Genomic DNA, 26402 nt, shown 5'->3' on the forward strand with positions numbered 1-26402 from the left:
TCCCTTGCTGGACACCACCACTCCAGTGCCTGAAATCCAACCTCCCCACCCCCATCAGCATTCCTCCCCTGGAAAAGATTGGAAAATGCAAGAATGTGCTTCTTTGACTCTGGCCTTCCTCTAACAGCCCTGCTTCTGTTAACACAGCCTTTTTGCAGCTTCCTTGACGTCATTGGCTACAGGCTACAGCTGTTGCTAGTCAAAGGCATTGTTCCTTTGAGCTAGCAGGCACTTTGTTCTCTCCCATGACACATTGTTTTATGAGCTCACTCTAGAGGAGAAACATTCTATCCCTGTGCTCAAGTTCTTCAGGAGCACCTCACTGTCTCCCTCTGCCCACCCACCTGCACCTGACAGCTGTGGGCTGTGCTCTCAGGGAGGCACCGTCAGATGCTACCAGACTACAGAGGAGAGCACCCTCAATCCTGACTGAAGGTTTGGGAAAAGGCTGCTCAGAAGAGGTGATACTTGATATGGGCCCTGGAGGAGGAGAAGCAGTTTGAGAAGACAGCAGTGAGAGATGGCATCCGGGCAGGCGAGAAATGTCAGTGGTCATGGAGGCAGCATGAAGGGACTGTTGGCTGCAGAAACCTGGCAAGGCTCTTAGAGACAGAGACGAAGAGGGAGATGGGGCTGGAGATGGAGATGATAGAGACAGAAAGATTGAAGATGGCAGAGTGGGGGCTATGGGGAAGGGTGATGAAGCAGGAAAGATAGATCGAACGAGACTGCGAGGAGCCTGTGTGCCTGGGCTTTATTTTGGAGGCAATGAGAAACAGAAAGTGTTTTTGAGCATGATGGGACAATGAGGAGTTCTGTGGTTTAGGAAACCCAGCAGTCACGGGAAGTGCAGATTCAAAGTAAGAAAACGTCCCAGGGTTTGGTGATGATCTTGGTGGGAAGTGACACAGGGGTAGTGGGGATGGAATTGAAAGAAAGGATGAACTTCCAGAGTATGGCTGTGCTCAGTAGACAGGAATCAGGGAGGGCAGGAGGAGAGTAAAAGGGTCCTCTGAGCTTAAATCCAGATGTTGAGGAGATGGTGGTACTATCAATGGAGGTGGAGCTCTTAAGAGGAAGAAAGATGGGAAAGAAAAGGATGAGGTTTTTGACAAGTTGAATATGGGGTGAGCATGGGTCCAACTGAAAGCAGTGGAAATATAGACGTGAAAAATAGATGCGGTAGAGTTGAAAAGTTGGGGATAATTTTCACCTGAATGTTACCTAAGGCAAAGGGAAGAGAGGTCATCCAGGACAAAAGTACAGAATGAAAAGAAAAAGCAACTAAGCACGAAATCTTGGAGAATGTCCTCATTGAAGGGTGAGCAGATGAAGAGGAGCCCACAAAAGAGACTGAGGAATTGTCTTCATTCACTCATTCATGCATGTATTCATTTGGTCAACAAATATTTTTTGGCACCTCCCATGGACAGGTCCTGAGCACCAAGGGTACAGTCAGAAATGATGAATCCAGAAATGATGCCCTCCAGAACTTCTGGTGAGGAAGGCACTCAGGAAAATGCAGCACCCTATGGAGGCCCAGAAAGGAGGGCATTCAGGAAGAACACAGTCTGATGGTGTCAAGTGCAGCGGAGGCTAAGAGGTAGGGAGGAAAAGATGGTAAAAGGAGAGAACTGGGGAGGCAAGAGGGACAAATGAGGGAGAAGAGAAGGGAGAGGAAATACAACAGAGGCACAGAGTGGGGATTTGTCTGATTCAAGAATCCTAGGCGGGGCGCGGTGGCTCACACCTGTGATCCCAGCACTTTGGGAGGCCAAGGTGGGTGGATCGCCTGAGGTTGGGAGTTTGAGACCAGCCTGGCCAACATGGTGAAACCCTGTCTCTACTAAAATACAAAATTAGCTGGGCATGGTGGGGCGGGTGCCCATAGACCCAGCTACTTGGGAGGCCAAGGCAGGAGAATCGCTTGAACCCAGGAGGCAGAGGTTGCAGTGAGCCAAGATTGCTTCATGGCACTCCAGCCTGGGTGACAGAGTGAGACTCCATCTAAAAAATGAAAGAAAAAAGAATCCTATGTTCTTTCCCCTGGCCTTACCTTAGAAAGCAGAGTGAATGCCGACCTAATCAGGTTTACCTCCATTGCCATAGCAACCTCTGGGACTCACTTTGGTGCACATTCTTGAGACCTGAAGTGAAGAAGTTAACTTTATATCAAGTTACCTACCAATTAGGCTAGCGATTTCTCTGTCTTTTAAAACATTCTTTTAAAGTCTTGTCATGTTTCATCTTTCTAGAATTCATTTTTCACATCTTCATTCACTGGGATTCTGGACCATAATATATGTAAACACACAAAATACTAAAGATTGAAAATACAATTATTCTGTTTTCTGATTATTAAAGTGGTCATTGTTAAAAAAAAAAGACTTGGAAAATACAATATAAAGTAGAAAATACAAATCACTCATTTCCCCACCACTCTTAGTATTCTGTTGTTTTTCTTCCCAATCCTGTTTCTAGACACATTTGATGACATTTAAACATATTTTTATTGTGAATATACAGTTTCATATATGGTTTTGTTTGCTAACTAATTATATCATGGACATTTCCCCATGCCACTAAAATAACTATAAAATCATTTCATTATTCATAAGCTTCACATTTTAGCCCTTCCTCTATTTTAATGCAGCAATTGTCCACCTTTATACATAAATATTTGTTCCTGAATCTTAAAAGTAGTCAAATTCGTTCACACTTCAAAATTATTTTTGTATTTACTTTTTCTTAGAATCTTTGTGTTTAATGTCTCATTCATTTCAAAGAGCAATATTAATACAATTGAAAGTGATCACAGCATCTTTTGTCTCCAAATGCAAGTTATTTTGTAATGTGATCTAATTTTATTTTGTAAACTCCATTATTAAGAAATTTGACCCAAATTTGAGAAATGATAGTTACTCTTGACTCATACCATTCAGCCCTAGGTTTCCATCAATGCTTGTTTGAATTCCATGGGTATAGCACTGGTGGAACTGCTTTTTCAGATTTTTAGATTTGTCAGAGAATATTAATCCTTAACCTAAGTTTTTTTTCCCTGATTTCTCTCTTTACATTTATTTGTTTTCTTAGTTTCATTATGATATATGAAACTAACATATCCTTTGTATGAGGATTCAGTGGTTACATCTGAAAGCAAACAGGAAGTTATTATTTTGCTTGTTAGAAAAATTCACTTCCCTTAATGTAGCTTTTCCCATTATTTTACTCTCAAACATTTGGTGTACTTCTGTTTTACATGTGTTTCTTGTAAGAAGAATATGGTTGGATTTTTAAAAATTAACTATCTTTTAGCTGACAAGCGTAATTCTTTTTTATTTAATTATGATCATTGATATATTTGGATTTATTTTCACCATCTTTTTACACTTTCTATTTGATGAAATTCCTACTCCATTTTTTTCTCCTCCAATATTTTGGAATGTATAGATTCTAATTTTTTAATAGTTAAAGTTATTAATTAGATTCAGCCTCCTTCTAAAACCTAGAGTATTTTAACTCTTTCTCAGCTTATAAGCTAGTATTGTCCAGTATTTTATTTCTATTAAAAAGTCTTGTGAAATGTATCATATATAGAAAAGTTTACAACATGCATGTATGTATATGCATGTTTGCGTGCGCGCACGCACACACACACACACACACACACACACACATACATTCATATATTTACCATTTTAAGAAATAGACTATGACCTCTGCTTTAGAAGCTCATCTCTCCCAACCTCTGACTTTTATAACTTTACAAGTTAGATTTATTAGTGTTGATATTTATTTAGATGTATCCATGTGACTACAAATGTCTTTGATCACGTGGTTATCTTTCTTACAACTTACAGTTCACATCTCCTTTCTGGAGAAGTATATATATCCTTCTTTCCAAGGTATATATATCCTCAAGAAGTTCCTTTACTAAGAATCTGTCCAGAGTAAATTATCTTGGCTTTTGTTCACCTAAATATATTCTATTGCATCCTCATGAAAGATAAGTTTTACTGGGTATCCAACTGTAAATTGAAACATTTTTCCTAGCACTTTGAAGACATCATCTTGTAATCTTTTGGTTTCTGCTCTGTTCATATGAAGTTAGATGTAAAACAGGAAAGCTGTCTTTTTCTCTAGCTGTTTTTAAGCTATTAAATTTGTCTTTAATGTTCTTTCATTTCACCAGGATAAGTCTGGGTGTGAATATTTTTTAGAATTTTTTGTACTTCCTAAATATAAGGAACCATACAAATTATTGAATATTGTTTCCATCTCATTTTCTCTAGTCACTCTTTCTGGAACTTTCATTAGATGAATGTGAACACTTCTTAAACTTTCATGTGTATATCATGATATCCTTTTTCTCTCTCTCAACTATATTCTAAGTCGTTTTGTCTCATCCAACTTTCAATTTATTAATTATACATTTCATTTCTAATTCGTTAGTCAACTCATATGTTGAATTTTAAAATTCAACTATTTTACTTTCAGAAGTTAATCTTTTTTGATGTTTATAAGAGTATTTTGTTCCTTGCTTATGTTTTAAAGTTTTTTTAAATATTGAAAACATATTTATTTATAAGGCATGGTTTTCTGGCACACTCTCGGTTTTTGTAGATATAGTTTTATTAAAACACAGGCAAGCCCATTCATTTGCATACTGCCCATGGCTGCTTTTACAGTAGAATAGCAAGGCTGAATCTTTGTGACAGAGACTGCATGGCTTGCAAAGCCTAAAATGTATACTATCTGGCCTTTTAGAGAAAAGTTTGCTAACCTTGCTCTACGTGATAATTCCAACCCAAAGCCTGAATGTCTGATTCTACTGTTTGATGTTTCTAACCCTGTCTGATGATGTCTTACTACATGGGTGGTCTTGTGATTTTTTTTAAAAATTGTGAGCTCATTTTTGTTGAGGCACTAGCTGTGAGAATTTTATGAGGCTTGAATTGGAGAACATTCCTTCTATTTGTGTTTACCTTTGCCAAGTGTCTCGTCATTTTAAATTTTTTTTTTGGTTTGTTTGTTTAAAATATAGTTTCAGAATAGGTACACAGAGTGAATTTGAACCCAGGCTTGAGGCCTGACTGGTGATTATTTATAATTTCTGGTAGGGGGTAGGAACTTTTATTTTTTCTTCCAACCAAAATCAAGGCTAAGATGCAAAATCTTCTTTGCTATTTCCTTTGCATGGCGAACATTTTCTAATTCACTATTTTATTGGGAATGTGGGCCTTTCGGGACTCATTCCAAAGTCTCCATGCTGACACTGCACTGCTTTGTCGCCTGCCTCTCCTGTCCCCCTTCCCCCGACACGGATGTAAAAACTGAAAGCTCTAATTTACAAAACACTGGCAAATGCCCTCAGGGTCTGATGCCTGCTCCAGTGAATATTTACCATGCTCATTCTGAATTCTGGCTTCCAACTTCATTTTTGGCCTCTGGGGATTAAGATACTTTAATTTCTTGCCAAGTTAGCTACTCATTTTATCCAGCATTTTAAAGGTGCTTTTTGGGGGAGAATTTTCAGGATACAGAGTCTGTCATATTGCTGGAAGTAAACATCAGGAAATTTTTAAATGAAAAAAAACACACGATTCGGAAAATGGAAATAGAAAAGTTTCATAACATTCCAACATGGTTCCAAGTCTACCTAATGTTTATTTATATCCGAGTTATGAGTGTTGTCTCTGGAGTCAGACAACCTCGGTTTGGAATCAGGCTCTGCCGCTTACTACTGCTAGAGGTGAGGGTGGGCAAACTTTTTCTGTGAAGGGCTGGATGGTAAGTACAGTTGTCCCTCAGTACGCATAGGGGATTCATTCCAGGACACCCCATGGATAACAACATCCATGGATGCTCAAGTCGCTGATATAAAATGGCCTAGTATTTGCATATAACCTATGCACATCCTCTCGTATACTTTAAATCATCTCTAGATTACTTATAATACCTAATACAATATAAATGCTATGCAAAGAGTTACTGTGTTGTATTGTTTTTAATTTATATTATTTTTACTGTATTGCTTTTTTATTTTTGTTTTCAAACATTTTTGATCCTTTGTTGGTTGAATCGACAAATGTGGAACCCTCACATATGGAGGGCCGACTGTATTTTGAGCTTTGCAAGCCATATGCAACTACTCAACTCAGCCACTGTATCACGAAAACAGCCATAATTATGTAATGTGTAATGAATGGGCATGGCTGTGTTCCAATAAAACTTTATTTACAAAAGCAGGCACTTAGCTGGATTTGAACTTCAGGCTATAGATTGCACACCCCTGGCCTTGTACAAGTTAATAAATCTCTTTAAGCATCAGTTGTTTCATCTCTAAAATGGAGAAAATAATAACTGTGTCATCCATAGGTTGTTTGAGCATTAGTGAATTTGTCAGAGGCATTTGAACCATAGCAATTCCATCTTAAATAGGGGTAAAATGAGACTGAGACCTGCTGGGCTGCATTCCCAGGAGACTAGGCATTCTTAGTCACAGGATGAGAGAGGAGATCAGCACAAGATACAGGTCACAAAGGCCCTGCTGATAAAACGGGATGTCATAAGAAAGCCCACCAAAACCCACCAAAACCAAGATGGCGATGAAAGTGACCTCTAGTTGTCCTTACTGCTCATTATATGTGAATTATTAATGTATTAGCATACTAAAAGACACTCCCACCAGTACTGTGACAATTTACAAATGCCATGGCAACGTTTGGGAGTTACCCTACGTAGTCTAAAAAGGGGAGGGACTCTTAGTTCCAAGAAATCTCCACCCCTTTTCCCCCGGCAAGCTTATGAATAACCCACCCCTTGTTTAGCATATAGTCGAGAAATAACTGTATTTAGTCAAGCAGCCCATGCCACGTCTCTGCCTATAGGGTAGCCATTCTTCTGTTTATTTCTCGAATAAACTTGCTTTCACTTTACTCTATGGACTTGCCCTGAACTCTTTCTTGCTCGAGGTCCAAGAGCTCTCTCTTCAGGTCTGGATCAGGACTCCTTTCCAGTAACAAATTCATGTAAGTGCTAATGTTAGCTATGATGTCACTGCTGGAAGTGATGATGATGATTTGAAACCAGTTTCTTGATTTTTTAAGATCATAAGGTGTCTCGTCTTCAAATCATTTAAATACATCCAATGTAGCTTCCTATGCTGCTACTGATGACACACAGTAGAAAGCTAACAATACTGCAGTAACGAACGACCCCCAAATCTCAGTGGCTTTAAAGAACTCAGATTTAAGTTTTGCTCACACTACATTCCATCGCACAGGTTAATGAGGGGTTCTCCTCACTGTCATTCCTCTGGGGCCCAGGCTCATCGAGCAGCCACCATCTTGAAATCACTGGTCACTACAGGGGAAAGGAGCTTTGAAGGGTCTTTAAACAACAATTAAATGCTTGGTCTGCAAGTGAAGTGTTATTTCTGTGTGCAGTTCACAGTCAGAGTTGGTCACATCTTTCTCTCCCACTAGCTTATTGCTTGGGTTTCTGGGCGTGTTGTCACAGACAAGCTTCATCTGTTGGCTCCTCCAAGGAGTGCCTAGAAATTCAGAGCTACTCACCCAGGGCCATATGCTTCCCAGGGCAGCCCACATCCAGGGAATGCTTCCTGTGTGGGTAGAAGCCCAGCCCTTTCAGCCTGATGTGGGACAATTTTGGGATTTGGCTCAGCCTGTTGTTTGGCAACTTGACTTCTCCCTCTGCCCAATCCTGCTTTCCTCTTTTCCTTTCCACAGGGATTGTTCCCAAGGATGTTCATTAATAAGCATCCTGTACACTAAACTCCATCTCAGGGTTCTTCTCCAAAAACCCAGTCGTGACATTCACCATGTGCCCAAGAGAGAGAAGGCTGGACTATCTCCTGAGGAACACCAAGGACTACCTCACTCACTAAAGTGAACACAGTTAGCCCTTATAGATGGGAGAGACTAAGATCACAACCATGATAATAGCTAATATTTATTAAGCACTTACCTGCCGCATGCTGCACTAAAATACGTTACTTGGATTTGCTCATTTAATCTTCACAGTGCCCTATGTATTAAAACAGGGGATTAGACTAGGGAATGAGAAGCTACGGCCTGCAGACCAAATCTGCCCACGCCTATGCCTTATGCATTGTCTATGGCTACTTTCATGCTGTAACTGCATAGCTGAGTTGTTGTGACAGACACTGCATGACCCACAAAGTTGAAAATATTTACTATCTAGTCCTTTTCAGAAAAGGCTTGCCGAATCCTGTTTTAGGTATTATTTCCATTTTACAGGTAACAAAATTTAAGCTTGCAGAAGTGTGTGGTTTATTAAATCACAGAATGTCAATTTTTAGTCATATAGATCAAAGATAAAATTCTAAGTCCCCCAACCAACTGAATGGACCCCTTCTCCCAGCCAAGGACATTCCAAAGTTAATCTGAAAAACTAGTTCAGGCCATGATGGGAAAGGGGCAGTCAGATACACCTCATTATACCGTCCTTCCTTAGGAATTCAGGCACAACTGACCAGCATCAACATTAAAACAGGCCAGGCACGGTGGCTCACACCTGTAATCCCAGCACTTTGGGAGGCCGAGGCGGTTGGATTGCCTGAGATCAGGAGTTCGAGACCAGCGTGACCAACATGGCAAAACCCCATCTCTACTAGAAATTCAAAATTAGCCAGTCATGGTGGTTCACGCCTATAATCCCAGCTACTCGGGAGGCCTGAGGCAAGAGAATCGCTTGAAACTGGGAGGTGGAGGTTGCAGTGAGCCAAGATTGAGCCATTGCATTCCAGCCTGGGCAACAAGAGTGAAACTCTGTCTCAAAAGCAAACAAACCAACAAACATTAAAACAGAGACTTAAGACTGACAAAACTGACTCTTTGCAGTAATAAGATACCAACGTGACAGATAGCAGACCCTGAAAGCAACTGAAGTATATTTTTTTTACATATTCTGAAATGGCCCTGCAAAGCCGTCTCTTGTGGGGAAAATCTACATTCTGTAGAGAATCCCCTTCCCTTTCCAGGTCTTTTCCTTGATCCAGGAGATAATTACCTGAGTCTGGCATCTTTTTAAGTCTAATAAGAAACATTTACAATCTATTTTCTCTGAAGCCTGCTACCTGGAGGCTTCATCTGTATCAGAAAATCTTTGAATCTACCTATGACCTGAAAACCCCCTGCCCCACCCCACTTTGTGTTGTCCCACCTTTCCAGACTGAACCCATCTACACCTTACCTGTATTGATTGATGTCTTATGTCTCCCTAAAATGTATAAAACCAGGCTGCATCCCCACTACCTTTGGCACATGTTCTCAGGGCCACTGGGGCTGTGTCATGGGTCATGGTCCTAATATTTGGCTCAGAATAAATCTCTTTAAATATTTTATAATTTGACTCTTTTTGTCAACAGTCATGAAGACAAACATTTAAACAGCAGCCCCCTTCTGTGATGGCAGGTGCAGACTCCCCCCTACCCCCCATGCCACTGATGGGCCTTTGTAAGTGCTCAGTGAATGATAATGAATGATTTTCTTCCCTTCTCTTCTTCCCACCATCCTTCTTTGTAAAATCGAGGCCTCCTCCTCCATCTTTGCTCTAAATCCCCTCCCAGACAAGTTCTATTTTCTAGAGACAAGCGTATCTGAAATTGCAACCCTGTGGCTTCTCTCCACCAAGTGAAAAACACAAGAGACACATCAGTTTTTGGTACCTTTGGCTATAAAACCTCTGGAGGAAGTTCTGTTTTTCTGAAAATGGCTTTCTTTTACTGGAAGAGTTAGGGTGGTAAATCTGTAGAGCCTGAGCTGGCTACCAGGAAACACTTCATGATGGCTGAGAAATTATTCCGCATGCTGAACCTTAAAGGGATAACATAAAATGGCAGTCTTGACAGACCCCTTAGAATCTAACGCTGAGATTATCTGTTTCCAACTGCTTCCAGCTGAGAAGTGGCTCTCAGGGCAGCAATGAGTACTCAAAAGCATTCCCTCATAGAAGTGATTGTTCAAGGGGGATTCAAGAGTTTAATTCCTTAATGCCCATCCGGCTGTTTCCTAGATTCTTCCAGAACATGGGCCTTATGCCCCTAAATTCACTCCCATACCTAGAAGCAGAACTGGGAACTGAGCCCAGGTTGTTTGATACCAAAATTTGTGCCCTTAACCATGCATTTCACTCCCTTCTGGTACACAAATATCCAGGATCATGTATTTACTTTTTACAGATACTGTTATATGTGCTCATGTAAATTGTCTGGCAATTAGCTGCAAGAGGATTGTAGGAAGAGATTCTACCTATCCATCTCTTTACACCATGCCTTCTGAAGAGAAGATTTTCGGAGAGAATCCTTGGATTTAGTCAGGAATATTAGATCCCTAAATAAAAATGTCTAAAATCCTTTCCCCATTCTTTGTTGTTGTTTTTGAGATAGGGTCTCACTCTGTCACCCAGGCTGGAGTGGTGGTGGTGTGATTACAGCTCACTGCAGCCTCAACCTCTTAGGCTCAGGTGATCCTCCCATCTTAGCCTCCCAGTACACCCGGCTAACTTTTTGTATTTTTGGTAGAGATGGGGTTTCACCATGTTGCCCAGGCTGGTCTTGAACTCCTGAGCTCAAGCGATCCACCTGCCTTGGCCTCCCAAAATGCTGGGATTACAGACATGAGCCACCGTGCCCAGGCTGTTTTTTATTTGTATAAATTTAAGGGGCAAAACTGCAGTTTTGTTACATGGGTATATCGGGTAGTGGTGGAGTCTGGGCTTTTAGTGTGGCCATCACCTGAATAGTATATGTTATACCCATTAAGTAATTTCTCATCCTCATTCTTGGTTCCTTAAAAAACAACTGGCCCTCAAAAACGTCTAGGGAATGGTGTACAAATGAACGAATGAGTCAATGGATGAAAGAATTAATTAATCAATCTCCAGACCCTTGACAACTTAAGGATCTTGGGCACAGTTTATGCTCATGATAAACAAACAAAAAAAAGATAGTCAGCAGTTTTCTTATTGTGACATAGGCATCAGAAGGTTCACAATCATTCATTTAACAAACACTGAACCTTGACCATGAATTGCACACCGTATTAGGCACGGAGGACGTGACACGCAAGGTCTCTGTCCTCAGCACAGGCAGGACTCCAGAGATGAGGCTGAAGCATGGAACGTAGTGTGGCCACAGGAAGCTTCACCTGGGGCTTTGGCCAGTTGCTCATATGTAAGGAATAGAACATAGGGAGACATACAAAGATAGAAGATACCCTTTCTAGGAAGTGAAATGGGAGTGCAACATCCAGGTCGAGGATTGGGAAGGGTTAAGTGTAAGGTTCTCTGGCAGCTGGAAGATGTAACCCGATCCGTCTCAGCAGTAGCTTTTTAAACCTGGGCTTTAAAACCGGGAAACCTGGAGGAATCACAGACGCTGGGCTGGTTTTACTGGTCTCCCCTCTCTGCTTAGAAAGACAGCTCATGCCTTGTATAGCTAATGTTTCTTTGGTGGTGAGAGGGACTTCTGTATATTGCTCAGTTTATCCATATTGTGATGATTTGTACTAGTTGCAATTCTCAGAGTATGTCCTGATCTCCACAAACGGGAAGTTGAGAGGACAACAAAAGAGAGATGTTTTAAAAGCACTATTTTAATGACATAATTCTGTAAATATTACAGTGTTTAGACACAAATATAACAGGATTCTTTCTACAGAACTTTTTAAACCATTAATTTAGGATTAGGAAACTCCCCTCACTCCCCCTAGGGCCACTGCTTGATTTGGTTAAAGCAACTTAATTCAGGTTAGGGTAAAATTTAAGCAAACTCCATTGCTCAGCAAAATGCTGCCTGAAAACAGCTAAAGACAGGTCAGAATGTCCCTAACCAAACCTCAGGCATTATTAACCAAGACCTGCCTTAATTCTGGTTTATCTCATGATGACCAAGGAGAAAAAAGTCTTCCCCTGCTAGAAGTATTCTATGTCTATCACAAAGCAAGGATTGTGTGTTCAATGGTCATAAGAGAATGGATAATATACATAAGAGTTTAGAAGAGAGAGTAAACTGAAGTTAAGGTCATTTCAAAGGGCTTCATGGATGAAAGGATCTCAAATTCTAATTGAAGGAGAAGGAAGACTTAGTTGAGGAGGTGAGAGAATTTCAGAATGATATGAAGGGAGGCTTGGAAGCAGCAATTTGGGTGTCATATTTCCACAGACTAGTGACTGATCAGGGTCTTTTTTTTTCCTTCCAAAGAGTGAGAAGAAAAATATGAGGTTGGTGCAAAAGTAATTGAGGTTTTGCAAAGTAATGGCGAAAACCGCAATTACTTTTGCACCAACCTAAATAGGTAGATAAATGTAGTTGGAACAGAAGGTTTATTTGAGGATGTAGCCCAAGATTAGGTTGAAAAATTAAGAAGGAGGCAATCTGTGATGGGCCTTAGGTTTTAGAAGAGCAGACGAGGCCAGGAATTGATATGTAGAAGTGGAATAGTATTTTTTCTCCTAGTTTTCTTCTGTTTCTAGATTGCTTTGGTCACTATATAATGTCTTTCTCAGTTTGAAGGCAGACAGAAAGATTATCGGGAAAAAAATTAGGATCAAGTGTTAAACTCAGGCAGCATCATGTTCTAGTGCTATTGGGTGAAACTTCTAATGTAGACAAACGATATAACAATTTTAATAACTCCCTGAAATTTAAGTAAAGAAGCAATTCTAGGCCAGGCGCGGTGGCTCATGCCTGTGATCCCAGCACTTTGGGACGCCGAGGTGGGTGGATCATCTGAGGTCAGGAGTTGGAGACCAGCCTGGCCAACATGGTGAAACCCCGTCTTTCCTAAAAATACAAAAATTAGCCAGTCACGGTGGTGTGTGCCTGTAGTTCCAGCTACTTGGGTGGCTGAGGCAGGAGAATCACTTGAACCCAAGAGGTGGAGGTTGCAGTGAGCCGAGATTCTGCCACTGCACTCCAGGCTGGCAGACAGAGTGAGACTCCGTCTCAATATATATATTATATATTATATATATTATATATAATATAATATATATAATATATAATATATATATAATATATAATATATAATATATATAATATATATAATATATAATATATATTATATATAACATATTATATATATTATATATATTATATAATAATATATTTTATATATAATATATAATATAATATATAATAATATATAAATATATAATAATATATAATATATAATATATAATAATATATATTAATATATAATATATTATATATTAAATATATAAATAAATAAATAAATATATATAATAAAAGAAGCAATTCTAGCAACTCAACAACATGAAAGACACTGAAGTTGAAGCAAAGCAGGAGGTTCCTTTTAAAACTGGATCACAATTTATAGATAGCTGTATCCAAATAGAGAGAACATGATTGCCATCCAGCCCTCAAACAACCTTACAGGTGTCTGGGCACCTTTGAACTGAAATTTAAGCAGGGAAGTTCCAATGACTGAATGGAACGTCAAAGAAGTGTTTGAAACTGAAATACCAAAGTAAAATAAAATTTGGAGGCCTTTTGGTGATCCGAAGGCAAGTATTTCATAGATTTCTCTGTTGAGGTGCATCTCATTTTGGTGTGCGTCCAAGTGTTTTCCAAGATGCAAACTCCTTGAGAGCAGGAACATATTTCCTTTATGCCTCATTGAATGCAGGCCAACCAGTGGCCTGATGAGGTTTGGAGGGTGTGAATGACAAGTGTAAATAAAATTGTGTTGACAGCTATTTAATTATCATGTAGTTTCATGTTTAATGTTCAAAAGTTCTGAATAAATGAGCATAACAAATCTCAGTGAAAGCTAAATTAATTGACACATTTTGGCTAGCTGCAGAGAGCCATTTTGCTGTCTTTAGGAGTCCCCACGGTGTGATACTCATCTTGATTATGTAAGGCAAGTGAGGAGGGGAAAGGAAAACTTTATTTTTTGTGAGTTCCCTTTTTGTTGATTGACACCTCTAAATTTGTAGCAAGGCAGACCATGCCCCTGACCCATTTTCCTCTGATGGGTCTTGTTTCCCACCCTGTAGTTCCTTTTTTTTTTTGAGATAGAGTCTTGCCCTGTCACCCAGGCTGGAGTGCAATGGCATGATCTCGACTCACTACAACCTCCGCCTCCCGGGTTCAAACGATTCTCCTGCCTCAGCCTCCCGAGTAGCTGGGATTACAGGCGCCCACCACCACGCCCGGCTAATTTTTGCAGTTTTAGTAGAGACGGGGTTTCACCATGTTGGCCAGGCTGGTCTCAAACTCCTGACCTTGTGATCCGCCCACCTCGGCCTCCCAAAGTGCTGGGATTATAGGCGTGAGCCACCGTGCCTGGCCTGTAATTCCTTTTTAATACCTGCTTCACATGCGATGATTTGTTCAGGATCTATTTACACCAGGAGGCTGTCTGCTCCCAGTGGACAGGGTCTGTATTGCCATGGCCAGGCACTGAGGGCCAGCACGAGGGCACTTGCTGGTCCAGGGGCAACTTTGGGTTGCAATCTAACAACATATTAATTCTAACTTCTCCATCTAAAATGGAAATCTGTTCTGAATTTGCTGTAAAGTTTCTGTGGAAGCTAGCTGAGGACCCTATAGTTGTTCAACAAATGTTTGTTATATGAAAACAAAAGGGAAGGGAAGGGAAACGCTGGGGTAAACCTCAGTTCTACTTGTTGCTCATTCCTGGGGGTACGTCATCTTTTTCTGCAAAGCAGACCTGTTTCTACCTTGCTCACACAGCTTGGTAGACAGACACTAACATTTTCATCACATGAGCCCACATGAGCCTCTGCTTTAATTCTGCATTTGTAAAGCTTCATGTTTTTTTCTCATGGAAGTAGAGTCATAGGTGGAGGAGGTCACACGTTTCTAAACTCCCTCACCCCTACTTTTTTTTTTTTTTGATATGGAGTCTTGCTCTGTCACCCACGCTGGAGTGCAGTGGCGAGATCTCGACTCACTGCAACCCCTGCCTCCCAGGTTTGAGTGATTCTCCTGCTTCAGCCTCTCAAGTAGCTGGGATGACAGGCGCCCACCACAACATCCGGCCTAATTTTTCTATTTTATTTTATTTTTTTTTTAGTAGAGACAGGGTTTCACCATGTTGGCCAGGCTGGTCTCGAACTCCTGACCTCAAGTGATCCACCCGCCTCCGCCTCCCAAAGTGTTGGGATTATAGGTGTGAGCCACCGCGCCTGGCCCCCCACCCCTACCTTTTGATGAAATGGTTAAAAATACAAAACAGGACTGTGTGAGTGAATAAGCTACCTATTTTTGGGCAGTCATGAGGTGAAGATTCCATTCTTGGCCTGCTGCTTGTGTAGGAGAACACGAGACTTCCTGTCCCTACCACTTTGTGTGAGGTATGGGGCAGCCAGCCACACTGTGCTAGCACCTAATAAGGTTGCAGATTTAATTCTAGCCCAAATCTGGACAAACTGATGTTCAGGTTACAGCTAGCTGATGTTCAGAAAAGGCTGCCAGAATCCTAATGAGCAGCCTGAGGAAATGGAGCCGTAGATTCTGTTTAAAATTCTCTCCTTTCATTTTTTCATTTTCTCCATCTACATCTCTGTCTGCTCCCTTTCTCATTCATTGCTTTCTGCTTCCTTCCCCCTTTCTCCATTCATTCCTCTTCCTTCTTTGCCTCTATCCGTCTTTCTGCTTTTCTTTCTGCCTTTCTGTCTTTCCCTTCTCACCCTCTCTCTCCTGCTTCCTCTCCTCTCACTTTCCTTTCCCTCAGTCTCTCTCTTGCTCTTGCTCTTTCTCTCTCTTCCTTTTATCTACAGCCTATTGGCTTCTCATTTCTTTTCCTTCTCCCCTCCCATTTTCTTTCTAAGAATTTCTTGATGAAACTAAAAGAGGACTAAAAGGAGCTCCATGAAATGCTTGCCTGGAAGAAAACATGGCTGGATGCTCTTCTGATCATAGGCAGCCACTAAATTTGATTTGTAGCTGATCTTAAATGTAGGAAAAGATTTTCAATTACAAAACTCATAAAGTGTAAAGATGAGGGAAACTGGCCATGCTTTGAGTTTGACTAATGGTCTCAAAGCGCTTTAAAATGTTTGGCATTTGCCAGCCTTTCTTTCTTCTCCTAATCCTCAAACTCATGAGTTTTTATGGGAAACATAATCCTCTTTTCTGATTCATTTACACTTAGCTCATCTGAGTATTGTTTTGTAAAAACCATCTGAAGTCCAAGAAGTTTTATGAGATCTTTAAAGGCTTGTTTTTTGAACCAGGAAGTTGTGTACTGCCAACATAAATGGACCTTGAACTCTAGGGGGGTTTGAGTCCAGCATCCATAGCATTAAACTGGGTCTAGAATTGGCAAAGGCCCATCCTCATGGCTGACAGAAACTGGGCTTTCACCTTCAGAATAATAGTGAGTTCAGTGTTTGGGATGAGTGACCATCTCAGATGATAGTACATGGGGTGCATAACAGGTTTTTCAAGGATTATCTTGCTAGTTACGTAAATAGCAAGAGACTTATGTGGAAACCTGTGATTTTGCTGGAGTCTCCCAACTACAGAGTCGGGCTGCTTGCTCATGTGTATATTTCCATATTAATTGTGTGCATACACACATACACTAATGTGTAGACGGATGGGTTAACATTCACACTAGAGATTTATTTTTGTATTTAAAAAATTTTTTTTAGTTTTAGTCTTATTATTTTTTTGAGATGGAGTCTCGCTTTGTTGCCAGGCTGGAGTACAGTGACACAATCTTGGCTCACTGCAACTTCCACCTGCAGGGTTCAAGTGATTCTCCTGCTTTAGCCTCCGGAGTAGCTGGGATTACAGGCATGTGCTACCATGCCCGGCTAATTTTCGTATTTTTAGTAGAGACGAGGTTTCACCATGTTGGCCAGGCTGTTCTCAAACTCCTGACCTCAAGTAAACTGCCTGCCTTGGCCTCCCGAAGTGCTGGGATTACAGGTGTGAGCCACTGCACCTGGCCTATTTTTATTTTTTTCAGAGTTGGGGTTTCACCATGTTGCCCAGGCTGGTCTCAAACTCCTGACCTCAAGTAATCTGCCTGCCTTGGCCTCCCAAAGTGCTGGGATTACAGGTGTGAGCCATGGTGCCCAGCCTCACACTAGAGGTTTTTTTTTTTTTTTGTTTTTTTTTTTGTTTTTTTCCTGTGGTTTTGTTTCAGAGATGATCTGATTGTGATATATCCAAATCTGTCATAAGGCAGGTTGTAATTGGGTTAAAGATTGGTGTGAAATGCCCACCTCGCCATTGCTGTGGGTTGAGAGGAAAACTGCATTCTGCATTTTTTAATGGTTAAAAAACATTTTTCTGCAGAGCCAAAGGGCCTGGTTAAGGTCATTTCTCCCCCAAACACTAGGATCTCAGGCAGAGTCCCAGGCCTTCTGGAAACTGAGGCTCAGAGAGGTGAAATGTCTTGCTCAAGTTTCCACGGGAAGTTGATATGGTTTGGCTGCGTCCCTTCCCAAATCTCGTCTTGGATTGTAATCCACGTGTCGTGGGAGGGAGCCGGTGGGAGGTAATTAAATCACGGGGGCGGTTACCCTCATGCTGTTCTCCTGATAGTGAGCTCTCAGGAGATCAGATGGTTTTTTAAGGGGCTTTCCCCTCTTTTGCTTCGGCACTTCTCCTTGCTGCCGCCATGTGAAGAAGGACGTGTTTGCCTTCCCCTTCTGCCATGATTGTAAGTTTCCTGAGGCCTCCCCAGCCCTGCGGAACTGTGAGTCAATTAAACTTCTTTCCTTTAGAAATTAACCAGTCTCGGGTACGTATTAGCAGCATGAGAACATACTAATACAGAAGTAAAGCAGCAGGTAGAGCCCAGCCCCCTAGAGTCCCCATCCAGGCTGTGCCCTCCACAGGTAGCTGCCACTTATTGCCCAAAAGCAGCTTTAATGCTTGCCATCTGTCCATCTGGGGACTGGGAGTGACCACCACTGAAGACAGGTAGAGGCTGGTCCTGTTGGGGATGCTGTCCTTTACTCTTTCCTGAGCTTTCCTCTGTCTGACATCTCTCCTCTCCTGTCCTGGCTCTGCAGAATGTTGTAGCTATGCTAATCACCCTCCTCCCCACCTCCAACCATTTCATCTGCTGTTACATTATCCCTACCTGAGAGGTAAGAGCTCTGTGAACTGATCTGAGTTGCAGGTAGGAAGTATTTTCCCTACATGTTGGTGAATTTTCCATAAGATGACAAAGAATTGTGGGCTGTACTATGATACAGGCATCATACAAATCAGGTCCTCCCTTGTGAGAGGTCTATCATGATCTCAAAGTGTTGCTTCATTAAGTTGTTATCATTTTTAAGCTTTCATTTACATCTTCTCTCCCTAACAAGACACGAAGTTTCTTAAAGACAAGGGCTTTATGCCTTGTGATCCTTTGTATTTCCACAGCCTCAGTGCCTCCTTCAGAGATGCGGTGGATATTAGCTTCTGTTGTATCCTTCATACAGAACCTGGTGCTGAGAGACAGCTTCTTCTTTTTTTTTTTTTCTTTAAACTTTTCTTAAGACTAGTCAAGTACAGTATCAAGAAGACGGGAAAGAGTAGAACAAGGAATTGGATCCGTAACTGACTGTGAACAATCAATTGAGGTAACTCATTACCTTTGAACCAACCTGGGAGGCAGCCTTGTGACTCACCTCAATCCTCAATCTTCTCAGCTAGTTCACTTTGGCCTGGCTCAGGGGCTGACCTAGAATGATCCTGTCCAGAAGGACCCTGGATGTTCTTAGAGACACAGACTGCTAGGGCTGGCAGGGACTTTTCATCCAATTCCTCTGTGACAGAGGAGGAAGTGGAGGTGCAGAAGGAGAGGTGAGCTGCCTGTGGTCCTTCAGCTTACTAATGGCAGTGTTAGGACTGGACCTGAGGGCTCTTCCCTCCAGTCCGGCGCTATTTATTCCATGACAGTGCCTCTCAAACTGTGTTCTCACAAGCAGCTAGTGCTCAGGCAGCTGGACTGAGGCCCTGCCTGCCAAATCAAATATTGGAGGTCTTTCTCCAATGTGCAGAAAAAAAAAGTAATTAATGGGTTAAGTTTCCTTAGGGTTAAATTATTTTTCCATTAATGCTTCTTAAACCATTGTCACCTGCTACCAATTGTCTACTAGCCAATGCATGCAGGCAACAAAACAAAAGGATAAGCCACAAGTAAATAAGAACAAGAACAACCAAAGCCTTGGAAACACACCATCATTCTTAAGTTAAAGGCTTAAAAAAAAAATAGAGGAAGACTGCTATGACTGTGGACTTTCTATTGCATTCACATAATAAAATCATGCGACATTGTTTTGAATTCAAATGCTAAAAGTAAATATGTCATTATTTCATGGTTTTCCCCAAAGAGCACTATGACCCCCCAGACTCTATCCCTGGTACATTCTGCCATCTCTCTTAATGGGTCAGGTCATCTCCAAGTTGGGTGACCCGGTCGGATTACGGTCCCGTGAACTGATTCGCCTTTATTAAAAACAATAATGGCTTAGGGTTTTCAGGGATCCTGAACTCTAGTCCTACCCTAAAGGCCCAGGGACAGGGCTGTCTCTGCGGTTGTCCCTGGGCGGTTCTCCCCGTCCCACGCGGGCGCCCTCTGCTGCCCGCCCTGCACTCCCATCCCTGCCAAGCGAGAAGTAGGGTACCAGAGGCTGCACACCGAGAAGCAGCCACGGGGACTTTACAGCCCCACAGGGAGCCACCTAAACGGTTTCCGATGGAGACCTCAGCGCGCCCCGACAGCCCTTTCTGGGGCCCGATTTGGTATCTGAATTCAACCCCGCAGCAAGTATCACAGCAAACACGGATAAGAAAATGCCGGGGCTTCCAAACAATATCAAACGCATGGGGCTTCTGAAAGGACAGGATCGTTCAGTAACTTTGCTGAGCGCTTTGTCCTCTCCCGGGACACGGGACCGGGGCGTGGGGACCTCCGCCTCGGCGACCCACGGGGGCAACCCCAGTGGATGTGGAGGGTGGCGGCGCGCCTTCGGGCTCCTCGCACGCCTTCCCCAATTAGGATCTGCCGCCTGACGTCACGTCTGCCGGAGATTGGCTGCTCAGGTCTGACACTCGGGGCCACGGGAGAGAAACTTTTAAAAGACTTCGCCGCCGGGGCTGCCTCGGAGTGTCCCGCGCGCTCTCGCTCGCTCTCGGCCACCCTCGCCGGGCCCCGCTGCGGCGCGCGCTGCAACCCCCGGCCGGACGCGCGGACCCTCACCTTGCGCGGCCCGCTCCCCTCGCCCCTCCCCGCTCCCCGGGCTCCGCGCTCCCCACCCCCACGCCCTCCTCCTGCTCCCAGCCACAATCGGCCGGGGTCTGGGGCCGCTCAGCTGCCCGCAGAGCCTCCTCCCTCGCCACCGACTTGGTCTCCTCCCGCCTTTCCCGGGCTCTCGGCAGCTCTCGGGGGAGCCCGAACGCGCGGGGAAAGGCGAGCCGCACGGCCGGGGGAGGGGGCCGGACCGCGCGCGACCGGTCGCGCCCGCTGGGGCCCGCGATGGCGGGGGCCTGGCTCAGGTGGGGGCTCCTGCTCTGGGCAGGGCTCCTCGCGTCCTCGGCGCACGGCCGGCTGCGGAGGATCACCTACGTGGTGCACCCGGGCCCCGGCCTGGCAGCCGGCGCCTTGCCCCTGAGCGGGCCCCCGCGTTCGCGGACATTCAACGTCGCGCTCAACGCCAGGTACAGCCGCAGCTCGGCGGCTGCCGGCGCCCCCAGCCGTGCCTCCCCCGGGGTCCCCTCGGAGAGGACCCGGCGCACGAGCAAGCCGGGCGGCGCGGCCCTGCAGGGGCTCAGACCGCCGCCGCCGCCGCCGCCGGAGCCTGCGCGTCCCGCGGTCCCCGGCGGGCAGCTCCACCCCAATCCCGGCGGCCACCCGGCAGCCGCCCCGTTCACCAAACAAGGCAGGCAAGTTGTGCGCTCCAAGGTGCCGCAGGAGACCCAGAGCGGCGGAGGCTCTAGGCTGCAGGTTCACCAGAAGCAGCAGCTGCAGGGGTAAGCCCACACCCCCTTCCGCCCGCCCGCCCGCCTCGCGCGCACCGCCCGCGGAGGGACCTGCGGGGTCAGGGCCACTCGGAGCCCCGCGGTGGCCAGGGCGGTCGCGCGCGGTGGGTCGGCTTTCTCCTCCCGCCTCCGCCTGCTCTGGGCGCCGCGGGAAGAGGGGAGTGCGGGGAAGCCCAGGAACTTTTACTGACGTGAAACTCCGAGTGCATTGTTACCGAGCTGCGGGTAAACACAAAAGGCATTTCTGCCTGGGGCGTAACCTTCTGCGCGCAAACCCAACTGCTTCTAGAAGATGGGCGTAAACTTGAGGTCACTACAGTTTAATCCCTCAGCATCAATTAAACTCTGCAACTGAGTTTTAATTTTGGTCTAGCTAATGAAAAAAATGTTTCGAGGGCGGGCTAGCCGTAAAGATCCAGCTCCTGTTCTGTGGCCTGGAACTTTGCAGCATCAGAGAAATCATGGGCTTGGACTTCGCTGCACCTGTGGGGTCTGCTTTCCTGGGGTGGGGTGTCTTGGTATTGATAAAAGTTTTGGTTGGAATGTTTCTGTTACTGGGCGCTCATAGTGCCTTCCCGTTGTGGGAATTCATCTCAGGTTGGGGTGTAGGGGAAAACTTGTTTTGCTTAGTTGGCATGTTTTTTTCAGGGGTGATTCCAGGCCATGTGCCCTCACTCCTTTTTGGACAGTTCTCTCTGAAACTCATTTCCAATTTAAAATGTTGGCCCAGATAATAGAAAAAATAAATTTGGCTCTACTGTAATTTGGGGGTAAGAAAACCATTTGTTGGGCCCTGTTCTCCCTTCCTGTATAGCCCTAGGTTTATGCAGGCTTTTTGGTTCTCCCAGCATTCCCTGATATATGTATGGGCCTTGCCCCTCTGCTTGGGCAGCTTTGGGTTGGGCATCCAGGGTACCTGTTAGGACTCTCTCTCATCCAGAGGGTTGCAGAAGCTGGAGGCTGGCCTTTCTGGAACATGCTGGAAGCTTGGGTTCTTGGGAAGGGGGTCTTTCTGCTGCTGGACTCAGCGATCTTGCTTTGTTTCAGGGTCAATGTCTGTGGAGGGCGGTGCTGTCATGGCTGGAGTAAGGCCCCTGGCTCCCAGAGGTGCACCAAACGTAAGTTGCCATGTTCACAGTGGCCCTGCACAGTAGGCAAAGTGGGGGGAGGTGTCCACATGGGGGCATCTCACAAGGGCCACTTGAAAGGGCTCGGGGGAAGTTGAAGTCTGAAATACAATCCACCCAGGCTTCATTACCACCTAGGAAGGGCTGGGTCAGGGTAATGTTAGTATCAATGCCAGCAGCAATACATTGTACAGAACCGTGCTGTGCATCCAAGACTTCTCTGAACTCAACAGAGATATTCATCATTCTGGCACATCTGTGAATCAGGAGCTAGGAAAAAAATTTCCATTTGAGGATATGCCATATGGCAGAACCAATGTAATTAATTTGAACATGATACCAACAAATGAAAGACATTCTTTACGGTGATGGCAGGAGGGGCTTGGGGAGTAGAGGGCCCTGTTCTGGAGTACAACATCAAAGTTTTTATAGCTTCCTGAAAACAGCAACCAGAATCCTTCATCCTTGAGGCCTGATGGTTTTCTAGAATGCACTTCTCTGCTGCTCTTCAGAACTGATGGATGGGGTTCTCTGCAGTGCTTCTGCAGTTCACATGCATGCCCAGCAGTGTTTTTTAAAAAATGTGTTAATGATGCATACAGATTTCAGAACACTGGAAAATTTTTCTCCTATGCATTGTGAAATTAAAGATCAGATTAAAATGTATTTTGAGGTTCTTCTTGACGAATTGATGCTATCGGGTGCTCATTGGACATAAAGGAGCCTTACCTTCCCCCTCAGAAAAAGTGAAGCATTCTTAGTTGTTCTTTGCATAGAGATTGAGGCATTCCCATGTGGATTGGAATTGTCCAAAATTTCTGCTGCTTGGATTTTAAAATACAGGTGGATGAATTTTAAAAATTTTGGATACAGTCAATCTGGTGACCTTGTTTGTTGAAAATGTCTTCAATCCTGAAGGAAACAGAAGGGTTTTGGCATAATGGCCTTACTTTTGTAAAAAGGGAAATGTCCACAGGTTTTATGATGTGTTATGATCAAGCAGTAATTGCAGACATGAACAGTCTTCTGACTATTGAACTCAAACCACTAGATCAGAAATGCTCAGGGTTCTAGGCATTTTAGATTAAGTCATAATTTTTCATTTTGTAACTTCTTAAATTATACTTGTCAGAAATGTGTTAGCATTTGTTTAGAATTTAGCATTGCTCAGGCCAAATGACATGTCCCCTCTCCCCTCAGTAACTCATTCTGTCCAAAACCTGCTATGATATGGTTTGCCTGTAACATGGAGATAACTCGTCTGTTAACAGCACCACTGCAATGGGATATTGCTGAGTAAAGGTTAAAAATACGGAATAGGGCCTGGTGCGGTGACTCATGCCTGTAATCCCAGCACTTTGGGAGGCCAAGGTGGGTGGATCACTTGAGGCCAGGAGTTCGAGACCAGCCTGGGCAGCATGGCAAAACCCCATCTCTACTAAAAATACAAAAAAATTAGCCAGGTGTGGTGTTGTGTGCCTGTAATCCCAGCTACTGGGGAGGCTAAGGCAGGAGAATTGCTTGAACCCAGGAGGTGAAGGTTGCAGTGAGCCGAGATCGCTCCACTGCACTCCAGCCTGGGTGACAATGACTCTGTCTCAAAAAAAAAAAAAAAAAAAAATTACCCAGACATGGTGGTGCATGCCTGTAATTGTAATCCTGGCTACTCAGGAGTCTGAGTCAAGAGAATTGCCTGTACCTGGGTAGGGGAGATTGCAGTGAGCAGAGATTGTGCTGGGCGATGCAGAGAGACTCCATCTCAAGAAAAGAAAAGAATTCAGAGCAGGATTTTACAGATAGGCAGAAGCTCCTTGATGCCTGTTGGAGAGAATGCTCAAAGGCTTTAATAAGTTTGCTTGGCAAATGATGCAATTGAGTGCTGTCTCTGAAAAGAGGATAGGCCCCCATTTTCAGGTTGCTTGGGGAATTCGGGGATCCAAAGATGTTCTAGAAGATCCCAAGATGTTCCAAATCTTGGGGAATCTCTTCATGGCTTCCTGCTTCTGCAGGCAAGAGAGGCAAAGAAGTGGGTGCCTAGGTTTAGCTGGGTTTGCCCCCTGGTAATCCAGAGAGAGATCACAGAAGACTGCTGGTCAGAAAAATCAGTGTTGAAGTTACTTACAGGGCTCTAGAGGAAGTTGCTATGTTGGTTTAATCTTACGGTACCTACAACCAATGCTTCCAGCATTTGGCTTAAGTTTTCCTGCTGGCTTCTAAGAGGTAGCCCTTGGACAGTACCAGCATCTAAGCAATGTGACATCACTTTCCTTTTCTGTGGTTTTCAGCATTCAGAAGATTAACCTTCCTGTACTTCCCAGTTTAACAAATGAATTTAGGTACAAATGCTAGAAACTTAATTCACAGCTCTCTTCAGAAATAATTATGTTTTTAAAAGGCATGCTGGGGTAGGTCAGCGTGCGATCCAAAATAATGTATCTCTGAGGTGGATATTTAAAAGAGGGGACTTACTTTGCATGTGTCTGGGAGATCCAGGGAGCTGAGAGAGCCTTCTACCTTCAGATGGGACCACTGGGGCTCCTGCTGATGCTATAAACCTTGTGTCCATGGCTGAGTAGTGTGATGCCAGGAAAGACCCCCGGCTTTGGGGTCAGAAGACCTAAATTCAAATGCTGCAGCCCTCACTAGCTGTGTGGCCTCAGGGAGTTCACTTGACCTGTCTGGCCTGTATTTTCCCACTCAGAAATGACTGTGCTAAAATCTTGCCTTCTTTATAGGATGGTTGCAGGTATTAAGATGAAAAAAAATGGGTATGAAAGCCTTGGTGAAACCAGAAAGATTAATATTAGAGATTAGTATTGGATCAAGCCAAGTAAATTCTATCTCCTTTGTCGATGATTTGGTTTTCTTCTGTTTGTGGTTTCCTCCTCTCACTTCCTTATTATGCGGAGATTGAACAATTACACTTGGGTATGGTTTATTACACATAAGAATACAAAAACCAATGATACGCCCACATGAAGTTCCCCCTTATAATAGTCATCATAAAATATGCATGGACATTTAAATGTATAACCCAGGATGTCTTCTAATTGTCATTACATGTTGAAGATAATGAAGAATTTGAGTTTATATAGGTCATGTGCAATTGATGCGAAAAAAATTTCTGTGTAAGAGGTTGGAAGTGTTCATGTTGTTCAGTATTTGCCTAATCCAGTGAAGAAAATAAGGTATCCCTTTGAGAAAGCCTGGATTGTTTTTAGTTGATTGAAACCTAATTTAAATGGACCATGATCAAATGCTTCTGAAGACTAAAGATTTAGTGAACCTTAAATTGCAAATCAGAGAGATGTGAACAAGCAAGCGGCAGACTCACACAAGGGCAAAGAATGGATATGTGCACTCACCAAAGTGGTCCTCTAGGCTGTAGCTGCCCAGTCACAATGTAGAGATGCCTGGTTGCATGTTAATGTTCCTTTTCCAGACACCATTTGTATGTGGATCCCTAGGAATCGAAATTATCGTGTGGGATGTGTCATTTTAGTTAATATTGGATGACTCTTGATAGCCTTACCTGTTTTGGACAAAAGAGATGGAGAGATGGACCACATTTGTGCTCTTTCCAAGGAATTAACACTTAAAGGAATGTTTTGTGGGTTAGGGACTTTGTCTTCCAAGTGGGGCATTAAACCCCTGATGTGTAACATTTTTGCCTCCTATCATTTTTGTAGTTTTTTTTTTCTGCGCCCAAACTGAACCTCCCCCCATGCCCTGCATTGGTTCTGCCAGTCTTTTTGCCCCCGTCTCAGGGTAAGTGCAGGCCAGACAGAGACATTGCCGGTAGGCTCAGCTTTAATGAGAAGACTGGACACGGGAATAGGCAATACAAAAGAATGAAAGAGAGGAGAGTGAGGCTGGGCTGGCAGGGTTATGGGGTAGAGGGAAGAGAGATGATGGCAGATACGAATCCAAAGCGGGTGCCTGGCACATTGCAGGCCTTCCATACACGCATGGATGGTTCTTTCATTTACTGTTTAGCTTTTACCATGTGCCAGGTTCTATGAATAGAGGAGAAACACAGCCAGCTGTAGGGAGTGCAGGTCTGTTTTTACTCACTTAACTCGTGGCACATCAAATGACTTGTTCTCTCCTTAGAAAGAAACAGAAAATCGATATTCCATTGCTTTTCCATTGGCATTCAGCCCATGCTACTTTTGGGGAAAAAACCCAACTCTAGACATTTTCCTTAAATTATATGCAAAGGAGACAGAGTCACATGCACCCTTGGTGCT

The 26402-nt window shown here is 43.7% G+C and overlaps 1 protein-coding gene and 1 long non-coding RNA gene across 44 annotated transcripts in view, besides 3 other annotated features; both read left to right on the forward strand.

The window, feature by feature from the left end:
* Positions 1-284: 284 nt before the first annotated feature.
* LOC100271832 (uncharacterized) lies at positions 285-19334 on the forward strand. 6 transcript variants are annotated; one of them, NR_183187.1, is made up of 4 exons: positions 285-435; positions 1230-1321; positions 1434-1603; positions 18425-19334. It is a non-coding gene; the product is annotated as an uncharacterized LOC100271832 (long non-coding RNA). The 6 variants fall into 6 exon arrangements; NR_027097.2 differs by having other exon boundaries at positions 325-544; NR_183186.1 differs by lacking the exon at positions 1230-1321 and having other exon boundaries at positions 285-860.
* Positions 19735-19804: a silencer, noted in NCBI's record as "silent region_11344". NCBI's record gives its function as "represses an Ori minimal core promoter by ATAC-STARR-seq in GM12878 lymphoblastoid cells {active_cell/tissue: GM12878}" and the evidence as "EXISTENCE:reporter gene assay evidence [ECO:0000049][PMID:35858748]".
* The window catches only part of LTBP1 (latent transforming growth factor beta binding protein 1), a 452557-nt gene continuing 446305 nt past the window's right edge, over positions 20151-26402 (forward strand). For all 38 annotated transcript variants that reach the window (XM_011532853.3, XM_011532857.3, XM_011532861.3 and 35 more), the window contains exons 1-2: positions 20151-21016; positions 22073-22143. In XM_011532853.3, the coding sequence (XP_011531155.1) occupies positions 20523-21016; positions 22073-22143 (565 nt within the window). In that variant the 5' untranslated portion in view covers positions 20151-20522. The remainder of the gene's footprint in view (positions 21017-22072; positions 22144-26402) is intronic.
* Positions 20525-20694: a silencer, noted in NCBI's record as "silent region_11345". NCBI's record gives its function as "represses an Ori minimal core promoter by ATAC-STARR-seq in GM12878 lymphoblastoid cells {active_cell/tissue: GM12878}" and the evidence as "EXISTENCE:reporter gene assay evidence [ECO:0000049][PMID:35858748]".
* Positions 20915-20964: a silencer, noted in NCBI's record as "silent region_11346". NCBI's record gives its function as "represses an Ori minimal core promoter by ATAC-STARR-seq in GM12878 lymphoblastoid cells {active_cell/tissue: GM12878}" and the evidence as "EXISTENCE:reporter gene assay evidence [ECO:0000049][PMID:35858748]".

Source organism: Homo sapiens, chromosome 2, assembly GCF_000001405.40.
Source record: "Homo sapiens chromosome 2, GRCh38.p14 Primary Assembly".
Taxonomy (NCBI): domain Eukaryota; kingdom Metazoa; phylum Chordata; class Mammalia; order Primates; family Hominidae; genus Homo; species Homo sapiens.